Genomic DNA, 23,448 nt, shown 5'->3' with positions numbered 1-23,448 from the left:
AGAGTTCTTTTTAAATCAGTGCAAAGAGAAGTCTCTCTCCCTCTTGTTTTTAACATCTGCATGGTGTTTCTTTGGATGAATATGTAAACATTTATTGAACCAGTTCCTATTGATGGACATTTGCATTGTTTTTAATCTTTTGCAATCACAAACAGTGCTGCATTGATTAGCCTTGTACTTATGTCATTTTCCATGAGTGCAAGTATATCTGTAGAATGAATTCCCTAAAATTTAATTGCTCATTTAAGGGTAAATGAATATCATTTTGATAGCTATGGCTAAATTACCTTCCAAAGAGTTTCTACACCAGCTTACATTCCCATTAGTAATACATGAAAGCGTCTGTTTCCCAACACCCTCACCAACAGAACGTGGTATTAAACTTTTAGATTTGTGTCAATCATGTAGGTAAAAGATGATATCTTATCATAGTTTTAATTTACATTTCTTTAATTTTGAGTGAAATTGAGCATCTTTTCACATGACATGTAGACTCTTAATGTACAAAATTTCCTGTTTATTCAAAGAGTGAGATCCTTGCCAGCACTTAGAAAGCTGGAGTGAGCCCAGACATCGGGCTTTCTGGAACACAGACCAGAATTACAAAGTACCTTAGAAGTAATTTAGTTCAGCCCTTGTCTGATGCCTAAATGATCTCTCTACCTTCCCCAGTAAAATTGTTCAGAGTTAGCGAGTTCACAAAATTGAAGCCATTTTTATGTGGTTCTAAAAGTTAGAATGTTTTCATATAGAGCCAAAATCTTCTTGTAATTTCTGCATGACAGTAATTACAGTAAGCTCTTGTTAAAGTATACTGTTCTTTTATATCACAATAAGTATACCACAGAGATATAATATTGGCTTCAAATATCAGTAGCGCACTGAACTTCCCCCTCGCTCAAAAATAATTCTTCATCTGGTGGAGTCCTTAGATTATATTACATCTGACTTATATGTAGTCAGAGGGAAAAACATATTAAATATTGTTTTCATCACACATAGAATTTAAAATGTAATTGCCACCTATGTAGTATTTTTGCTAAAAATGCATAACCTGAATCTCACTGTGGGGAAATCTCAATATTAAATTGAAAGACATTCTACAAAATAACTGGGCTGTACTATTGAAAAATGTTAATGTCATGAAAGACAAAGAAAGCCTAAGGAACTGGTCCAGATTAAAGGAGACTAAAGAGATGTGCCCTGAGGCAGGAGGATCTCTTGAGCACAGGACTTTCAGACCAGCCTGGGCAACATAGCGAGACCCTGTCTCTACAAATACAAATAAAAATAGACGGGCATAGTGGTGTATGCTTATAGTCCCAGCTACTCGGGAGGCTGAGGCAGGAGGATCTCTTGAGCCCAGGAATTTCAGACCAGCCTGGGCAACATAGCAAGACCCTGTCTCTACAAATACAAATAAAAATAGACGGGCATAGTGGTGTATGCTTATAGTCCCAGCTACTCGGGAGGCTGAGGCAGGAGGATCGCTTGAGCCCAGGAATTTCAGACCAGCCTGGGCAACATAGCAAGACCCTGTCTCTACAAATACAAATAAAAATAGACGGGCATAGTGGTGTATGCTTATAGTCCCAGCTACTCGGGAGGCTGAGGCAGGAGGATCGCTTGAGCCCAGGAGTTTGAAGCTGCAGTGAGCTAGAATCACACCACTGCACTTCAGCCTGGGAGACAGAGCAAGACCCTGCCTCAAAAAAAAAAAAAAAAAGAGAGAGAGATGCCAGTTAATTGTAATCTGTGATCCTGAATTGGATTCTAGATCAAGGAAGAGGGAAAAAATGCCATAAAGAATATTACTGGGACAATTGGCAAAATTTGAATACGGATTATATACAGATAATAGCATTACATCAACATTAAATTTTCTGATTTTAATAATTGAGCTGTGATCATGTAAGAGATTGTTTTCATTCCTGGGAAATGCAAACTGAAGATGGGGTAAAGGAGCATGATGTCTGCAGTTTACTCCCAAATGGTTCAGGAAAAAAAAAAAATAAAGAAAAAAGGCCAGGTGCAGTGGCTTATAACCAGTGCTTATACCCAGGTGCAGTGGCTTATACTCAGTAATCCCAGTGCTTTGGGAGGCTGAGATGGGAGGATTGCTTGAGCTCAGAAGTTTGAGACCAGCCTGGGCAACATGGCAAAACCAAACTCTGTCTCGGCCGGGCGCAGTGGCTCACGCCTGTAATCCCAGCACTTTGGGAGGCTGAGGTGGGCAGATCACCTGAGGTCAGGAGTTCGAGACCAGCCTGGCCAACATCTCTACTAAAAATACAACCCCATCTCTACTAAAAATACAAAAATTAGCCAGGCGTGGTGGTGGGTGCCTGAAATCTCAGCTACTCGGGAGGCTGAGGTAGGAGAATTGCTTGAACCTGGGAGTTGGAGGTTGCAGTGAGCCGAGACCATGCCATTGCACTCCAGCCTGGGCAAGAAGAGCGAAATTCCATCAAACAAAACAAAATAAAACACCCTGTCTCGACAAAAAAATACAAAAACATTAGCCAGGTGTGGTGGTGTGCACCTGTAGTCCCAGCTACTCGGGGGACTGAGGTGGGAGGATGGCTTGAGTCTGGGAGGCAGAGGCTACAGTGAGCTGTGATCATGCCACTGCACTCCAGCCTGGACGACAGAGTGAGACTCTGTCTCAAAAAACCAAAAAAAAAAAAACACCCCAAAACAATAAAATAAAGGTTAAAAAAAAGAAAAATACAGAAAAAAAGAAAATGATAAAGCAAATGTGGCAAAATGTTAATTGCTAAATGTAAGTAAAGGATGTTTGGGATTTCATTGTACATTCTTGCGACTTTTCTGAGTATATTTGAAATTATTTCAATATAATTAATTTTAATTTTAATATAATAATGTAAATACTTTTGGAAGAGTGACTTAAGTACAATATCCTTTTAGAAGAGAAGTTTCTGCCAACATGTAGATGATTGCTATGGGCACATTTACTGAAAAGGGACAGGTAGCCATTGATTAAATCCAGACTAGTTGGAAATCACGTATGGTCCTGTAGAATCGCTTCATAAATCAAACTAAGAGAATTGGTGAGTTGTAGGCTTTCGAAAACTGGCTTCTTTATTTTCCTCCTGGTCATACTCATTTGGATTATTATTATTATTATTATTATTTTGAGACAGAGTCTCTGTCACCCAGGCTGGAGTGCAGTGGCACAATCTCAGCTCACTGCAACCTCTGCCTCCCAAGTTCAAGCGATCCTCCTGCCTCAGCCTCCCGAGTATCAGGCGCCCGCCACGATGCCTGGCTAATTTTTTTTTTTTTTTGAGATGGGGTCTCACTTTGTTGCCCAGGCTGGAGTGCGGTGGCACTATCTTGGCTCACTGCAACCTCCACCTCGCGGGTTCAAACGATTCTCCTGCATCAGCCTCCCGAGTTGCTGGGACCATAGGCGTGTGCCACCACACCCGGCTAATTTTCTGTATTTTTAGTGGAGATGGGGTTTCACCATGTTAGCCAGGATGGTCTCATCTCCTGACCTCATGATCCACCTGCCTCGGCCTCCCAAAGTGGTAGGATTACAGGTGTGAGCCACCGTGCCTGGCCATGGCTAATTTTTGTATTTTTAGTACAGATGGGGTTTTGCCATGTTCACCAGGCTGGTCTTGAACTCCTGACCTCAGGTGATCCGCCCGCCTCGGCCTCCCAAAGTGCTGGGATTACAGGCATGAGCCACTGCACCTGGCTCATTTGTATTATTTTAACCAATAAGATCACAGTATGCATAACAGTAGAAAGGAATGGTGATCAGTTGTGTTATCTGCACCGTCCCAGTGCCACCAATCCAATCACAGAGGTGGTTGTGGATCAGACAGAAGTGTGTCAAAAATACTGTGGAATCCCAGCACGTTGGGAGGCTGAGGTGGGGGGATCGCTTGAGCTCAGGAGTTCGAGACCAGCCTGGCCAACATGGTGAAGCCTCATCTCTACTAAAAATACAAAAATTGGCTGGGTATGGTGGCAGGTACCTGTAATCCTAGCTATTTGGGAGGATGAGGCAGGAGGATCGCTTGAACTTGGGAGGCAGAGGTTGCAGTGAGCCGAGATCATGCCACTGCACTCCAGCCTGGGCGACACAACGAGACTCTGTCTAAAAAAAAAAAAAAAAAATTGCTATGAAGAAAAAAAAAGATGAGTGTGGTAGTAAAAGCCATAATAAAGACAAAGGTGATGGAGGAGGGAAAGAGGGCTGTGGGGATTTACTATAATTAAATATAAGCAAATGTGTCTGGGTGTGTTTATGGGTGGGAGGTATTGGTACGTAAAGCAGAAAAGCAATGGAGTAGATTCTTCCTCAGCTATTGCCGTATTCTTACTGCAAAACAAACCACCTCAAAACCTGGTGGCTTAAAACAACATTCATTAATTTTCACTCCCACATCTGCAGGTTGGCTGTGGGGTCAGCTGGTGTGGGCTGGGCTCAGCTGAGGTTGGCTGGAAGCCCAGGCTGGGTGCAGATCTGCTCCACACACATTGCTCATCCTCCTTCAACCAGCAGGCTTGCCAGAACATGCAATTCCCACGGCGATGGCAAGTGAGGGGGAAAAGCAACCCAGCTGCGCAAGCACATTTCAAGCTCCTGCTCGCATCACTTTGGCTTAATATCCCTTTGGCCAAAGTGAATCATATGGCTGAGCCTGAAGCCTAGGAGTGGAGAAACAGACTCCACCTCTAACGGGAAGAACTGCAAAGTTACCAGGCAAAGGATATGGATATAGCAAGGGAGAAAGAGATGGGAATAGTAATGTGATGCACCCCAAAGGGGACTCAATCAGCAAAGGGAGAAAGGCTGTTTTTTTTTCCCCTCATTAGAAGGCAAATTATTCCAATTATCTGTGTTTGAAGATGTACACTTTCTTTTTTTTTTTTTCAGATGAGCTTATGAATACACTGCCAGACAACATCTTTCTGGCCCACGAAAAAGACACTGTCCTTCATTGCCAGCCCTATCCTTTTTGCCAAGTCACTTCACATTAGAAGCAGCATAGCATGAAGAGAGGCAGTGCAGTGTAATGATTTAGAACCATTTAAATTCTAGTTTCATTGCTTCCTAGCTATGTGATCCTGAGCAAATCACTTAACCTGTGCCTTGATCTCTTTACCTGTAAAATGCGGATGATAATAATAGCACCCACTGCACAACTGTGAAGATTAAGTGAGGAAACTTATAACAGTACTTGGCACATAGGTAGTTCATATGGTTTGGCTCTGTCCCCATCCAAATCTCATCTTGAATTGTAGCTCCCATAATTCCCACGTGTTGTGGGAGGGACCTGGTGGGAGATTTTAAATCATGGGGGCGATTCCCCCCATACTGTTCTCATGGTTAGTGAATAAGTCTCACAAGATCTGATGTGCTTTTTTTGCTTTTTTTTTTTTTGAGACAGAGTCTCACTCTGTCACCCAGGCTGAAGTGCAGTGGCACAATCCCAGCTCACTGCAACCTCCACTTCCTGGGTTCAAGTGATTCTCCTGCCTCAGTCTCCTGAGTAGCTGGGATTACAGGCGCCTGCCACCACACTGGGCTAATTTTTGTATTTTTAGTAGAGACGGGGTTTCACTATGTTGGCCAGGCTGGTCTCAAACTCCTGACCTCAAGTGATCCGCCCACCTCAGTCTCCCAAAGTGCTGGGATTACAGGCATGAGCCACCGTGCCTGGCCCGATCTGATGGTCTTATAAGGGGAAACCTCTTTTGCTTGGTTCTCATTTCTCTCTTGCCTGCCGCCTTGTAAGACATTCTTCCTTGGTCTTCTGCCATGATTGTGAGGCCTCCCCAGCAATATGGAACTGTGAATCCATTAAATCTCTTTCCTTTATAAATTACCCAGTCTCGGGTATGTCTTTATTGGCAGTGTGAGAACAGACTACTACAGTAGTACTATGTAAGTGGTCATTATTATTATTACTCTTACGAATTCTAGGAACCTACAGCTCTAAAGCCAAGTGCTGGTCTAAGCTACCTTCAGCATGGCCCTGCTGAAAGTTTTTAAGCATTGGATTATTTTTAGTCTTGCTTTCCAAAGGTTCTAGTGGTGTTCATCCAGGCAGTCCATGGGCCAATAAAAAGAAGATGCTATTTGAATTTTACCAGATTACAGGAATCAACTCAATTAATACAGCTCATTGATTTCTAATTCTTAATTCATTTACACTAACATGCTCATTTCATGGATGGACAGTTCCCCTAGTTGTATTCATGGTTTTAATTTTATTACAGGTGTTAACATTATCCTCCTGATACTTCTCTATGGCCTTGCTCCCTCAGGCTGTGTTTTCAGATTTTATAAGCTAAAAAGCTCAGTGTTGGATGATGTATGGCGTGGGGGCCTTCCAGGGAGCTCAGGGAGGAAATGTTGCAAGTCCTCATTAATTTGGACTCCACTGACTTTGAATTCATGATAATTTACACAGAGGGTAAATGAGAAGTTCTCGGTGTTATTATAGGAGAAAGGTGCTGCGCTCAAATTTTGTGAAGTTAAACTCAATATGTAGTTCTAGATCTGAAATGAGGGGATAAAAAGGAGGCTGGCATGGTGGCACACACCTGTAATCCCAGCACTTAGGGAGGATGAGGCAGGAGTTCAAGACCAGCTTGGCCAACATGGCAAAACCCCGTCTCTACTAAAAATACAAAAATTAACCGGGTGTAGTGGCTTGCATCTGTAATCCCAGCTACTCGGGAGGCTGGGGTAGGAGGATCACTTGAGCCCTGGAGGCTGATACTGCAGTGAGCCGAGATCACGCCACTGCACTCCAGCCTGGGTGACAGAGTGAAAAAAAAAGGGCAGAAAAGTCCCAGATCTTTGAGGAAGACTTGGCCCAGTTTCAAGCTTGGACATGCACACAGCATGTAGAAATAGGAAATAAAAACTATAAACCACTCTGAGAATGAAGCAAAGTGACTTAAAAAATTTTTTTTAATTTAATTTTATTTAAAGTTCCGCGGCCGGGCTCAGTGGCTCACGCCTGTAATCCCAGCACTTTGGGAGGCTGAGGCGGGTGAATCATTTGAGTTCAGGAGTTTGAGACCAGCCTGGCCAACATGGTGAAACCCCGTCTCTCCTAAAAATACAAAAATTAGCCAGGGTGGTGGTACATGTCTATAATCCCAGCTACCGGGAGGCTGAGGCAGGAGAATCACTTGAACCAGGGAGGTGGAGGTTGCAGTGAGCCAAGATTGCACCACTGCGCTCCAGCCTGGGCAACAGAGCGAGACTCCATCTCAAAAGAAAGAAAGAAAGAAGGAAAGAAAGAACGAAGGAAAGAAAGAAAGAAAGAAAGAAAGTAAGTTAGTTCTGGGATACATGTGCAGGACATGCAGGTTTGTTACATAGGTAAATGTGTGCCATGGTGGTTTGCTGTACCTATCAACCCCTCACCTAGGTATTAAGCCCCGCATGCATTAGCTATTTATCCTGATGCTCTCCCTCTGCCTGCACCTCCTCCCCACAAGCCCCAGTGTGTCTTGTTCCCCTCCCTGTGTCCATGTGTTCTCATTGTTGAGCTCCCACTTATAAGTGAGAATATGCCATATTTGGTTTTCCATCCCCATCAAGAGTCAGCAGGTTGCAGATCTGAGAACCAGTTCTGCCTCAAGATGGCTGGGTTTACTTGGGCATGTTGTTGAGCATCTCCAATCTTATTTCCTTATCAGTAAAATGGGGATAATTTTTACCCTGCAGAACTATTGGAAGGATTTATTGGAATAATCTGTGTAAAATCCCTGGCATTGTGTCTGGTGAGAAGCCAGAGGCTTATTCCAATAATGCTATCGACTACTCAAATTATTTTTTGAAACTCATATTTTTTAAGTGCCTTCAAATTTTGTTTGAGTTATCCTGAAAAATTTCATTACATTAGAGTCATATTTCATTTTAGACATTAAAAAATGCCCTCCAGATTGATCCTTTGGCCTATTTATCAAACATGGGTGACTTTTGACTACTTCCAGAAATTAAATCACCATGAAAGGACAGAAATGTATTGCCATTCAGGATATTTTAAAAATCACGTATCATGGATTTGGAAGAAAACATAACAATATAATAGTTTCAGTGTGCAGTGATTTTATCAATCTTGGCATTAATGCAAAGCCTCATAAAGAGACTACCTGGAAAGTGCTAGAACTTCTTGGAAATGTACAATCTAGTGGGTTCGTTTTAGAAAACACACACATAATTTTATGGTCTTATCTCATTTAAAGAATAAACTCTCAGCTCTTATCAGAAACATTGGCTTTTCAGTTTAAAAAATGATGTCATTTCCCTGATATCACATTTGGTAAGAAACCAATTTCTATTTCCAAGCATAAAGAGGAATTTATAACACCACAGTTGTTTCCTTTTTATCATTTGATGCAGAAGAGAAATCAAACCTTAAGATAGTCACCAATGACTGGGTGCTGTGGCTCACGCCTGTAATGCCAACACTTTGGGAGGCCGAGGTGGGCAGATCTCTTGAGCCCAGGAGTTTCAGACCAGCCTGGACAACATAGTGAGACTCCTGTCTCTACAAAAAATAAAAAAATTAACCGGACGTAGTGGCGCACACCTGTGGTCCCAGCTACTCAGGAGGCTGAGGTGGGAAGATCGATTGAACCCAGGAGGTCCAGGCTGCATTGAGCCTTGATTGTGCCATTGCACTCCAGCGCGGGCAACAGAATGAGACCCCGTCTAAAAAAAAAAAAAAAAAGTTGCCAAGAAAATTCCAGAACTGCCTAGATTCAAAATACGTGGTCCAGAGAAATTATGCAGGGCATAAAATAAGAGCCATTGCATGACCATAAGCAGGAGAACAAGACTGCCAAGAGGAAGAGCCAAACAACAATAACAAAAAAGCAAATTTCTATTTCTTTCTTTTCTTGCTTTTAAAAAAATCTTACTGTGTTCGATTTTTTTTCTTTTTTTTTTTTTGAGATGGAGTCTCACTCTGTCACCCAGGCTGGAGTGCAGTGGCATGGTCTCGGCTCACTGCAACCTCCGCCTCCCGAGTTCAAGCAATTCCCCTGCCTCATCCTCCCGAGTAGCTGGGATTACAGGTGCCCACCACCACGCCCGGCTAATTTTTTGTGATTTTAGTAGAGACGGGGTTTCACCATGTTGGCCAGGCTAGTCTTCAACTCCAGACCTCATGATCCACCTGCCTTGGCCTCCCAAAGTGCTGGGATTACAGGCGTGAGCCACCGCGCCTGGCTGTGTTTGATTTTTAAAACAGCTTTATTGAGATACAATTCATATAACATACGATTCATCCACTTGAAGTATACAAGTCAATGGTTTTGAGCATATTCACAGTATGCAACCATTACTCCCATCTCATTTTAGACTATTTTCATCATCCCCCAAAAAAGCCCTTTAGCGGTCATTCCCCACTGTCCAACTCCCCGTGGACAAGGTTTATCTATGTTGTAGCACGTATCGATACTTCTTGCTTTTTATACCTGTTCATTAATCAGCTGACGGACAGTTGAGTTGTTTCTGCTTTTTGGCTACTATGAATAATGACACTATGAACATTCACGTACAAGTTTTTGTGTGAACATGTTTTCATTTCTCTTGGGTATATACTTAGGAATTTCTGGATCATGAGGTATTTAATAACTCTGTATTTACTATTTTCAGGAACTGCCAAACTGTTTTCCATAGTGGCTGCACCATTACATTCTTACCAGCAATGTATGAGGGTTCCAATTTTTCCACATCTGTTTGATTTTGCTTTAAATCAAACTTTCAAGACTGCTGACAGTCGATCCAGGATGTTAAGATGGAAAGAAATAGAGATACAGCAACCATATAAAGTGTTTCAGGGCTGCTGACAGTGATGTGAGCCTGTTGGATGAAGAAGAGTTAGGATAAAAACTTGTTAAATAAAATATTTTAAACATTATCATCATCAACCAAGATGCTTGTCATTGCCTGTTCTTTTGTACTTATTGGAAAAGCAAGACCAACTGTGTGTCTCCATCCTGGGCAGCAGGCATATTCACATGTACCGATTTAAATCAAGGACAAAACAATTGTAGATAATTACAACTGAGAGAGAAAATGGAGAACTATTTAGGATATTATTTCAATTTGTTGTATTGTCAAGCTAAATTTCCAACCTCACCTCCCCCATTGTCTCCCTGAAAATTCCATTCCAGCAGCTAGTCCCTCTGATGACTCTGCTGTCACATTTACCTCTGATTTTTTGGCTGCATCTCCTGCCTCTGAATACACAGCCTTTACTCCTCAGATGACTCATTTTGCATGTTTTGACATATACTACTGTCTTTAGTAGTTTTTAAACTTTTGATGCACATATACTTTACCTCCCTTCATTGCTTTCTGAATGTAGTCAAGCTATTAAACATTTATTAAACTTCCTAATTCATCAAACACAGCTTGGGATTATGATGCGAGAATTTCATAAGTGCACTCAATTTATCTTTGTGGAGTGATTGAATTCTGGAGCATGACATATAAATTTCAGTGCTGTCACAAGATGACAAAGCACAAATTTTTCTTTTCACTTTCTTGACCCTGAAAATAAATTCCTCCCAAATTGCCTACTTTTAAAATAATATACCAATTTCAGAAATGCAACACACACTAGCATCAGAAATAAATATTGACATAAACTGACACCTAATCAAATGTCTGATTCATCCTTTGCATGATTTATTTCCCATGTGAATGCACATGCCCACTGCATGTGCACACACACACACACACACGCACACGCGTGCTGTCTACACAACTCGTATGAAACTTGACCTGTCAATATCTGCCTGTGAGCATAAAAAGCTTGTGCAGCAACAAAAAACAGGGGTTGCTGCTTTCACAAAAGCCTGAAAAATCTATTTCCAGGAGTAGGAAGATAATAATCATCTTTCCCAATGCAGTGGGAGATTTTATTTGCAGCTTTTTATGCTGCAGAGTTTATGAAATAAAATAATAATGCAACACAGTATACTTTGGTTTTATATAGCACCTTTCATCCAAAGAGCTTAGAGAAACTTACAAACATTACTTATTCACTTTCATAAATTTTTTTATTGAATTAACAAGATAGTCTACCATTCAAAAGTTAAAAGTAGTAAAAACAACCATATTTTATATAACGACTATTCCAAACATATCCAGTTTCCATTTTCTTGACTTACATGAAATTATTCAGCCTCTCATTAGTTTCAACCTGCAGGAGATAAGGCAACAATGAACTGCTGAAGTGTATAAATAAAAAAGAATAATTCAGAACTCATGTCGCATTTGTCTTCCTCCTGTCTAACTGAGAGCTATAATTCTGAAGAAGAAGGAAAAGCCCGTGATATATTTCATACCTTGCCAATCCTATGTGTATCTCACATTTTAGGACAACCTCACTAAGCCTGCAACTGGGTTTGAGATCTTGGAAGGAAGTCTCTGCTGGCACAAGTAGAGACATATTCCTGGGACTCTACATGATGCTTCTATGGCCTTACCATTTGTTCTTTGATCCTGATATTGCAAAGCCAAAATTTGCTTAGGTCGAGTGTTTGTGCATGTAGAGGATGGAGGAAACAATATTTTACCAGCTGGGGGAAACTGTAATAAAGATACTGGAGAATGCTGATTTACACAGTATAATTGCACAAGAGGCCTTCTTCTCAGTGATTCCAATCTACCCCTAGGATTCTGAAGACCTGGTACTGGGGCTCCAGTAATCTCCATGGGTGTTTTCTTCAAGTGGGTCATAGCCATTCTAAAGAATTGTTTCTTAAATTAGCATAAAACAAGACAATATTCAAAATTAATATTAAAATGACAGCGTTGTCTTAGCACTGCTTATAACGGCAATAATAAAATGATTTTTTCTGGGGAAAAGTAGAAGCTGCTATACCTGGGTCACCCTACCTGCTACTCCAGACGTTTGCCATCTGTATTTTTATTTGTGGTCTGTTTATTGGGAAAACTTCTGACCGATATGGATGTTGAACTAGATGTTAAGTCTAGGCCTGAACCTCTGAAATTGTTTTATAATGACACATTCATGAGACTCTATGCTCTTATAAATAAACACCAAGGCAAATGTTTAGATGAATGTCTTAGTTTGAGCTGCTTTAACTAAGTATGACAGGTGGCTTAAACAACAGAAATTTGTCACGGTTCTGGAGACTGGATGTCTGAGATTAGGGTGCCAGCATGGTTAGGTTCTGGTGAGGGCTGTCAAACTGCCATGTTCTCATTGTATCCTCAAAAAGAGATTCTCCAAAGGACATTCTAACTGAATAAAAATAAGAATAAAATATCAAATTTGTGGGGTGCTGTCAGAGCAGTGCTTAGAGGGAAATTTATAGGTTTAAATGCTTATTTTAGAAAAAAAGAGAGAACGGTTTAAAATCAATGATCTAAATTTCCTCCTAAACAAAGTTAGAAAAAGAAGAGCGAACTAAATCCAAAAGAACTGAAAGAGGCCGGGTGTGGTGGCTTACGCCTGTAATACCAGCACTTTGGCAGGCCAAGACAGGCAGATCTCTTGAGGTCAGGAGTTCGAGACCAGCCTGGCCAACATGGTGAAACCCCGTCTCTACTAAAAATACAAAAAAATTAGCTGGGTATGGTGGTGCATGCCTGTAATCCCAGCTACTCGGGAGGCTGAGGCACGAGAATCGCTTGAACCTGGGAAGCAGAGGTTGCAGTGAGCCGAGATTGCGCCGTTGCACTCCAGCCTGGGCGACAGAGCAAGACTCCATCTCAAAAAACAAACAAACAAACAAAAAAACCCAGAAACTGAAAGAAAGGAAATAACAAATATAAGAACAGAGACCACTATCAGTAAACAATTAGAAATTGAAATTCTAAAAGCTACAGTTTACAAATAGCAACAAAAAACTGAAATATGTAGGAATAAACCTAACAAATGTGCAAAACCTCTGCACTAAAAATGGTAAAACATTATTGTGAGAAATTGAAGAAGACATAAATAATTAAAAAGAAATAATATGATTCTGATTTGGTACATTCAATATTGTTAAGACAGAAATTCTCCTTAAATTGATCTATTGATCTAATGTAATCTCAATCAATATCCCAGCAGGCTTTTTAACAGAAATTGATAAATGATTTAAAATGAATCTGATAAATGATTTAAAATGCAAAAGGACCAAAAATAGCCAAACAACCTTGGAAAACAAGAATAAACTTTGAGGTCTTACAGTACTGATGATAAAGCTACAGCTATGAAGGCAGTGTGATATTGGCCTAAGGATAGACATGTAGATCAATGGAACAGAATATGGAGTCCAGAAACAGACCTACACATTGATCAACTGATCTTTGAGAAAAGTGATAAGGTAATGCTGGAACAACTATCTAAGTTTTTTATTTTATTTTATTTTATGTATGCATTTGTTTAATTATTTAGAGATGGAGTCTCACTCTGTCACCCAGGCTGGAGTGCAGTGGTGCAATCTCAGCTCACTGCAGCCTCTGCCTCCTGGGTTCAAGCAATTCTCCCGCCTCAGCCTGCTGAGTAGCTGGGATTACAGGTATGCGCCACCACACCTAGCTAATTTTTGTATTTTTAGTAGAGACAGGGTTTCACCATGTTGGCCAGGCTGGTCTCAAACTCCCGACCTCAACTGGTCCACCAGCTTGGCCTCCCAAAGTACCGGGATTTCAGGTGTGAGCCACGGCATTTGGCCTGTGTTTTTCAAATAGACATCAGTGCTCACCACATATATAAAAATTAACTGCAAATGGATGATGGATCTAAATGTGAAAATTAAACTATAAAATGTATAAAAGACAACATAGAAGAAAATTATACACCTTGAGGTAAGAAAATACTGCTTAGGACACAAAAAGCACTAATCATAAAAAATTTAGCAAATTATACTTCAAAATTTAAAACTGCTGCTATTTGAAACACATCTTTGAGACAATAAAAAGGCAAGCCACAGGCTAGGAGAAAATATTTATGATTCATATATCTGACAAAGAATTTGTATCCAGAACATATAAAGAAGTCTTGAAACTCAATTATAAGAACAATAACAAACCAAATTTGCCAAATGGGGAAAATTTTTGAATAGACCAAGAATTTCACTCATAAGCATTTATACAAGAAAAAGAATATGTCCATGTAATGCCTTCATACATGAATTTACTCTATTCATCATAGCTGAATGGTGGAAATAAGTTAAATGTTCATTAACAGGTTATTGGATAAGCAAATTGTGATATATCCATGCCATGGAATACTACTGAGCAATAAAAAGGATGAACTATTGATACATGCAACAGCATATGTGAAACTCAAAATTATTTAACTGAGTGAAATAGACAAACACATGATTTCATGTATAGGAAATTCCAGAACAGCCGAATCTAATCTATATCTACAGGAAGCAGACCAGTGGTTGCCTAAAGCTGACGATAGAGGGGAATTAACTACAAAAAGTCACGACAAACTTTCAACGGAGGATAGAAATGTTCTATATCTTAACTGTGCTGGTAGTTATTGGTTATATGGGTATAATCAATAACAATTATCAAAACTCATCAAATTGTACACTTAAAATGGGCACATTCTATTGTAAGTTACACGTCAATAAAGCTGCTATTAAAAAACAACAAAGCAGTGGCGCGCAGTGGCTCATGCCTGTAATCCCAGCACTTTGGGAGGCCGAGGTGGGTGGATCACCTCAGGTCAAGAGTTCGAGACCAGCCTGGCCAACATGGTGAAACCCCGTCTGTACTAAAAATACAAAAATTAGCCAGACGTTGTGGCTGGCGCCTGTAATCCCAGCTACTCAAGAGGCTGAGGCAGGAGAATTGCTGGAATCCAAGAGGTGGAGGGTGCAGTGAGCCTAAATCACGCCACTGCACTCCAGCCTGGGCAACAGAGTGAAACTCCGTCTCAAAAAACAAACAAACAAACAAAACAACAACAAAGAGTTTGTGATGGGTTTACAATTTGTCAGCTTGCCTGAGTTGACCTGCACTTCCCCGTATTCCCCTTCCTGTGTTTCCAGTTAGTGGGAGCCATAAGAGAGATTCTTGTCTGAGATTTGGAGGCTGGAAGTGAAACAGCAGCTATTTTGTAAATCACATGTATTGTCACTTGTCTTCTGGTTCACCTTGTTGGTGTGAGGCAGTGGCTGCAAAGCTCCATCAAAGTCAGGGGCAACAATAACTAACCTGGTGATATGGTTTGGCTCTGTGTCCCCACCCAAATCTCACCTTGAATTGTAATAATCCCCATGTGTCATAAGAGGGACCCTGTGGGAGGTAATTGAATCATGGGGGTGGGTTTTTCCCATGCTGTTCTTGTGATAGTGAATAAGTCTCACAAGATCTGATGGTTTTATGAAGGGGAATTCCCCTGCACACGTTCTCTTGGCTGCCGCCATGTAGGATGTGCCTTTGCTCTTCCTTGGTCTTCCACCATGGTTGTGAGGCCTCCCCAGCCATGTGGAACTGTGAGTCCATTAAACCTCTTTCCTTTATAAATTACCCAGTCTTGGGTGTGTCTTTATTAGCAACATGAGAATAGACTAATAATACACGTGGGTTTTGGTTGGTTCTCACAGGCTTCAGCTTGTGCTTGTGGGCTCAGACTTACTTCTGCTCTTTCTTACTTTACATCCATCTTCCCTTGCCAACTGCTTGCCTTGTGGACTTGAATTTCCAGCATCAGATGTGAAGACAGTAACCTTACAGAGACTTTTTACCATCTCCTACCACCTAAGGTTAAATCCCTGTAGCAAATTCATATATGTGTGTGTGTGTGTGTGTATAAAATAACATGTATATATTATATATATATTTTTCCTGATGGTTCTGCTTCTCTGATTTAATCTTGACTGATAAAGCCCCTTTAGGAAGAAAACTTTCTTCAGCCCCTGTTTCATTGTTATTACATATAATATGTTCCTGGCCAGGTGCGGTGGCTCACGCCTGTAATCCCAGCACTTTGGGAGGCTGAAGCAGGTGGATCACCTGAAGTCGGGAGTTTGAGACCAGCCTGACCAACATGGAGAAACCCCGTCTCTACTAAAAATACAGAATCAGCCGGGAATGGTGGCACATGCCTGTAATCCCAGCTACTCGGTAGGCTGAGGCAGGAGAATCGATTGAACCTGGGAGGCAGAGGTTGCATTGAGCCGAGATCGCACCATTGCACTCTAGCCTGGACAACAAGAGTGAAATTCTGTCTCAAAAAAAAAAATATATATATATATGTATGTATGTGTGTGTGTGTGTGTGTTCCCAAGGAAAAAATGTGTAGTACCACTATAAATGTGTATTATGTAAAAAGGAAAATAAAGGAAATGTCCAAAAGCTGATTACTACTACAATCATTGTTTGTTTATTTGATTTCTACTTCTCTCCCAAAAATATATGAATTGGTTAACAAAAAGAGACAAATGCAATCATGAGGAAATGATTGAGACAAAAGGGGAGACCACAACTATGCCAATAATAAGGGCCACTGTAGCTACTGGGATGGGAGAGGGTGATCTGAGCTCTGTGGTAGCTAAGACCCAGAAAGGAAGAAAACAAAAATATTTGGCTAATATATATATAAACTTATTCACATTAAAATAAGGAAGAAATACTCATAACTATCACAGTCCTTGTTTCTACAACTGGTCACATGGTCATAGCTGGTGTTTATCACTATCTTCTTCCACTACCCATCACATCTTCCTTTTGCCTTCAGCAAGCTCCTCAGCTGGTCATAGTTCTTTACCTGGTGGGGTTTTTCTGATGCCAGGGCAAGGTGTCTGTAACAAGCAGCCCTGACCATCAAGGTCAGAAGGGACAAGAGCTGAAACAAGTTTCCAACAGTCGTCATGGGCTCCAGTTTTTGCTTATGGGTTCAATCTTTTCCTTTATCTTCCTACACTTTACATCCATCTTCCCTTCCCCACTGTGGACTTCAAGCTCCAGCCCGAAGCCTCAGAGAGACTGCTTAACCAGCTCTTGCCATTTTGTAAGGTCAAATTTCTGTAACAAATACATAATAAATATATATCTCCTAGTGGCTCTGCTTCTCAGATTGAGCCCTGACTGTTACACAAAACATTATAAATATTCTCTTTAAACTTAAGACAGAAAAGGATCTCCACTATCACTACTTTATATAATATTGTATTAATGATTCTTGCCAATGAGTTAGGAAAAGAAAAATAATTAAAATATATAAGAAACAAAACTTGTTGGCCGGGTGCGGTGGCTCACGCCTATAATCCCAGTACTTTGGGAGGCCGAGGCAGGTGGATCCCCTGAGGTCAGGAGTTTGCGACCAGCCTGGCCAACATGGTGAAACCCCATCTCTACTAAAAATACAAAAAATTAGCTGGGCATAGTGGCGGGTGCCTGTGGGTGTAGTGGCAGGCACCTGTAATCCCGGCTACTAGGGAGGCTGAGGCAGGAGAATGGCTTGAACCCGGGAGGCGGAGGTCGCAGTGAGCCAAGATCGTGCCACTGCACTCCAGCCCAGGCGACAGAGTGAGACTCCGTCTCAAAAAGAAAAGAAAAAAGAAAGAAACAAAACTTGCTATTTGTAGATGATAAAATTGTCTTTATAGAATTGACAAGCTATCAGAACTAATGAGATTGTTCAACAAAGTTGTTAGACGTAAAATTCAAATACAAAACCATTTGCCTTCTTCCATACCAGCAACAAAAAACTAAAACGTAATTTTGAAAAGGATAACATTTAAAATAGCCAGAGAAGGAAGGTTCTTGGAAATAAATTTAACAAAAATATCTCGTAGGATTTTCATAAAGAAAAGTATACAATTTTATTTATTTGTTTATTTTTATTATTATTATTTTTTGAGATGGAGTCTTGCTCTGTTGCCCAGGTGGGAGTACAGTGGCATGATCTTGGCTCACTGCAACCTCCACCTCCCGGGTTCAAGCAAGTCTCCTGCCTCAGCCTCCCGAGTAGCTGGGATTACAGGCATCTGCCACCACGCCTGGCTAATTTTTGTGTTTTTAATAGAGATGGGGTTTCTCCATGTTGGCCAGGCTGGTTTCGAACTCCTGACTTCAGGTGATCCGCCCGCCTCTGCCTCCCAAAGTGCTGGGATTACAGGCATGAGCCACCGTGGGCAGCCAGAAAATTATACAATTTTAATGAAAGATATAAAAGATGACAAATAAATGGTAAGCTATCCCATATTTGTACATGAAAATTTGCAGCATCATAAAGATATACAGTCTCCCAAAGCTGATCTATAAATTCAATGTACTTTCAATCAAAATCTCAACAGGATCTTTCAGGGAACTTGATCATCTCAACCTAAAATCCATAAAAAAGGTAGAGGACCAAGAATAGCCATTGAAATCTTAAAGAGGAGAAGGGAAGATTTGTCTTTCAGATATTAAGCCTTCTATAAAGCTGCAGTAATTAGAAGTACTGTTATTGGCAAAAGTCTAAAAAGGATGAACTATTCATTAAATCGTGCTGGAACAATCTGCTAGATATAAAAAAATTTTTTTAACATTATAATCAAACCTCACTCTGTACCAAAAAAGAAATAATTCTGCTTAATTAAAGACCTCACCGTGAAAAACAAAACTTTGAAATTTTTTGATATATTAGACTGTTTTAAAAATATTTTAACTTTTGTATGAAGAAGACACAAAAGCAAAATGACAAACCAAGCCACATCATCATGTTTTTAAAAAAGTTTTTACCTTTTAAAATATTTATACTGAAATATTTATGAAGTTATGTAATGTCTGGAACTTACTTCAAAATAACCAGGAAGCAAGGAGAGGAATTGGTGAGGTGTGGGGCTTGAGAGGAGGGCTGGGGATTAGGTTGGGTATAAATCAAACAAGACTGGCTATGATAATTGTTAAAGTTAGATGGTGGGTACCCAAAGGTTCATTATACAATTCTTTCTACTTTGTTGTATATTTGAAAATCTCTATTTTAAAAAGTTTTTATAAGAGACGGGAAAAAACAGATGATGCCTAAGAACAAAGTCAAGATGCAGACTGGCAGAATATTTTTGTAACACATCTAATTAACAGAAGACTGGTAATCTCAACTTACAAAGAATGTTAATAATATATCAGTAACAAAATGACAATCAGCCCAGTAAAACAATGGCCAAAAGGTTTGAATGGGCAATTAACAGAGGAATAAATCCAAATGGGTAACATATGAAATATGCCCAAAGATCAAATGTTCTTATAGTCAGAAAAATAGAATATCTTTTTTTTTTTTTTGAGACAGAGTCTCGCTCTGTCACCAGGTTGGAGATCCTCTTCTTTTTTTTTTTTTTTTTTTTTTTTTTTTCACAGAGTCTCGCTCTGTTGCCAGGCTGGAGTGCAGTGGCATGATCTCGGCTCACTGCAACTTCCGGCTCCCTGGTTCAAACAATTCTCCTGCCTCGACCTCCTGAGTAGCTGGGATTACAGGCACGCGCCACCAAGCCCAGCTAATTTTTGTATTTTTGGTAGAGACGGGGTTTCACCATGTTGGCCAGGACGGTCTTGATCTCTTGACCTCGTGATTTGCCTGCCTCGGCCTCCCAAAGTGTTGGCATTACAGGCATGAGCCACCGTGCCTGGCCAGGAAAATATAATTTAAATATAATTTTACCAGGGCCGGGCACGATGGCTCATGCCTATAATCCTAGCACTTTGGGAGGCTGAGGCAGGCAGATCACCTGAGGTCAGGAGTTTGAGACCAGCCTGGCCAACATGGTGAAACCTTGTCTCTACTAAAAATACAAAAATTAGCCAGGAGTGGTGGCGGGCACCTGTAATCCCAGCTACTCGGGAGGCTGAGGCAGGAGAATTACTGGAACCCGGGAGGCGGAGGCTGCAGTGAGCCGAAATCGCGCTACTGCACTCCAGCCTGGGCAACAGAGTGAGATTCCATCTCAAAAAAAAAAAAAAATCATTTTACCATGAAATATTTTACACACAACAGATTGGAAAAAATTTAAAACATACGTATATCTGATAACACCGAGTGATGGTGAGGATACAGAGCTATAAGACCTTTTAGATGGGTAATTTGGCAAGCCCACTGACAATACATAGCAATGTCAACTATGTGTCTATCCAATAACCCAAGATTCCACGTGTTCCTACCCACCCTGGAGAAACTCTCCCATATGTGCCCAAGTAAACATGTACATGTGTTTATTGCAACACTGTAATTGGGGAACAAAAGTGGAAATAAATTTTACTTCTTCAATTTATGAATGGATAAATAAATATCCAACAATAGTAATTTTTCAGTAAATTCATATATGCATGAAAACGATGCAAACCAACTTTAGGATATTGTCGTTCCTTGGGAATGGAAAAGGGTAGTAGAAGAGGATGAAGCTTTAGCTAAAGTAGAATATTTTATTTTGAGAGAATAAAGCCACCAAGGCCAATGTTAATTTCTATTTTTTCATGGTAAAGAACATACAAGTGTTGATTATTCTCCATCTTTTAATGCTTTGTAACAAAATATTTTAAAACCAACAAACGTTTATTCTTTTTGATTTACGCCATGCCAAATGATAAGTGGGAACTTTTTGTCTTGTTTCCCACCAAAATAATATTTTGGTATAGTACAAATAGGGCCAAAAAGCACACATCGGCTAGAATACTAGATCATTGTTAAGTGTTCCTTTAAAATAATTTACTCAGACAGGGCCTGGCGCGGTGGCTCATGCCTGTAATCCCAGCACTTTGGGAGGCCGAGGCGGGCGGATCACGAGGTCAGGAGATCGAGACCATCCTGGCTAACATGGTGAAACCCCGTCTCTACTAAAAATACAAAAAAAAATTAGCTGGGCGTGGTGGCGGGTGCCTGTAGTTCCACCTACTTGGGAGGCTGAGGCAGGAGAATGGCGTGAACCTGGGAGGCGGAGCTTGCAGTGAGCCGAGATCACGCCACTGTACTCCAGCCTGGGTGACAGAGCAAGACTCCGTCTCAAAAAAAAAAAAAAAAATTATTCAGACAGTAAAGCTCAGAGCAATATTTTACTTTATCTAAATTGCAGCAGACTGAATATGTGTGTCCCTACAAATTCATATGTTGTAGTCTCAGCCCTCAACGTGATGGTATTAGGAGGTGGGGGCCTTTGGGAGATGATTAGACATGAACGTGGAGCCCTCGTGAGTGGGATTAGTGCCCTTATAAAAGACCCCAAAGAATTCTCTCACCCTCTTTCTGCCACCTGTAGACTTCTTTCCAAGCACTGCTTTAACAGCATCCCACAAATATGATACTTTATCTTCGTTTATTTAGAATCTCCTTTTGATTTCTCAGTTGACCCATGGGTTTTTGTTTTTTGTGTTTTTTTTTTTAAGTATGTTGTTTAGTATTCAAATATTTGGGAGATCTTTTAGTTATCTTTCTATTACTGGTTTCTAATTTTATTCCATTGTGGTCAGAGGACACATGCTGTATGATTACAATCCATTTAAATTTATTGAGACTTATTTTATAACATAGCATATAATCTATCATGGTGATTCTTACATGTGCACTTGAAAATAATGTGCTGTTGGGCAGAATGTTCTATAAATGTTAATTATGTCAAGTTGGTTGATGGCATTTAATTCTTCTATATCCTTACTGATTTTCTGTCTGCTTGTTCTGTTAATTATTGGGAGAGGAGTATTGAAATCTTGAATAATAGCTGGGAATTTGTCTATTTCTCCTTCAAGTTCTCTCGGTTTTGTTTCATGTAATTTGAAGCTCTGCTGTTTGGTGCATATGCATTTAGAATTTATGTCTTTTTGATGAATTGACCCTTTTATCATTATGAAATCTCCCTCTTCATCTTTGATAACATTTTGGGGGGCTTTGTTTTCAGCAAGGATCTGTTTATAGTAAACTCTCTCAGTCTCTGTCTGAAAATGTCTTTATTTAATCTTCTGGACTAAATGATGATTTAGTTGGATATTGAATTTCCAACCTGATAGCTCTTGTCTCTCAGTCCTGTAAAAATGTTATTTCATTATCTTTTGGCTTCGAATATTGCTGATGCAATATCGCTTTTCAATTTAATTCTTGTTTTTTTAAAGTTGCTCTGTCATTTCTCTCTGACGGCTTTTAAAAGCTTCTGTTTAACTTCAGTAGTTGATGTTTCTTTGTAATGTGTCTAAGTTTGGGTTTATTTATTTATTTATTTATTTATTTATTTATTTATTTATTTCTGAGACAGAGTTTTGCTCTGTCACCCAGGCTGGAGTGCAATGATGCAATCTCAGCTCACTGCAACCTCCGCCTCCTGGGTTCAAGCAATTCTCCTGCCTCAACCTCCCGAGTAGCTGGGATTACAGGCACCCACCACCATGCTGGGATAATGTTTTGTATTTTTAGTAGAGACGAAGTTTCACCATGTTGGTCAGGCTGCTCTTGAACTCCTGACCTCAGGTGATCCACCCGCCTCAGCCTCCCAAAGTGCTGGGATTACAGGCGTGAGCCACTGCGCCCAGCCTGGGTTTATTTCATTTTATTTTATTTTGAGACAGAGTCTTGCTCTGTCGCCCAGGCTGGAGTGCAGTGTCATGGTCTCAGCTCACTGCAGCCTCCACCTCCTGGGTTCAAGCCATCCTCCTACCTCAGCCTCCTGAGTAGCTGGGATTACAGGTGCCCGCCACCACACCCAGCTAAGTTTTGTATTTTTAGTAGAGGTGGGGTTTCACCATGTTGGCCAGGCTGGTCTCTAACTCCCAATCTCAAGTGATCCACCCACCTCGGCCTCCCAAAGTGCTGGGATTCCAGGCTTGAGCCACCACGCCCGGTCTGGGTTTATTTTTACTTTTCCTGCTTGGCATGGATGTGCTTCTTAAAACTGGGATTTATGACTTTAATCAATACAGAAAAAATTGTCAGCCATTATGTTTTAAAATATCAATTCTCCATCATCCCACTATCCCTACAATCTTTCTAGTTTCTCCTTGGGGAGTTCCTGTTAGAGATATATTTAACTAACTCATTCTATCCTGGATATATCATAACCTCTTTTTCATATGCTCCATAATTCATGTATTCCATCTTTTTATCTTGTTGTGCTGCATTTTGAGTAAATTCTTCAGATATGTTCTCCAGTTCAGTAATTCTCTTCAGCAATGTTAAATATGATATAAAAGTCCACTGAGTTTTAGATTTCAATATTTATATATTTCATTTCTAGGAGACCAATTTGGTTCAAAATCTGTTGGTTATTTTTAAAATAGCGACTTGTTCTTATGGATGACAGTGCTTCCATTTATGTCTTTAATCATTTTAAACAGATTCATTTTATCCTTTCCATTAGGTTGTTATATTATTTGAAGTACTTTGGGGCTATTGATCTGCAGTTTTGCACCCACTTTTTCTCCCCATGGAATCTTTTCCTTTTCTGTTTTATTATTTATTTACTTATTTATTTTTATGTTTTTGAGACAGAGTTTCACTC

This window comes from Homo sapiens, chromosome X (assembly GCF_000001405.40).
Source record: "Homo sapiens chromosome X, GRCh38.p14 Primary Assembly".
NCBI lineage: Eukaryota > Metazoa > Chordata > Mammalia > Primates > Hominidae > Homo > Homo sapiens.
The sequence above is the reverse complement of the archived record's forward strand: the minus strand, read 5'-3'. Positions refer to the sequence as shown.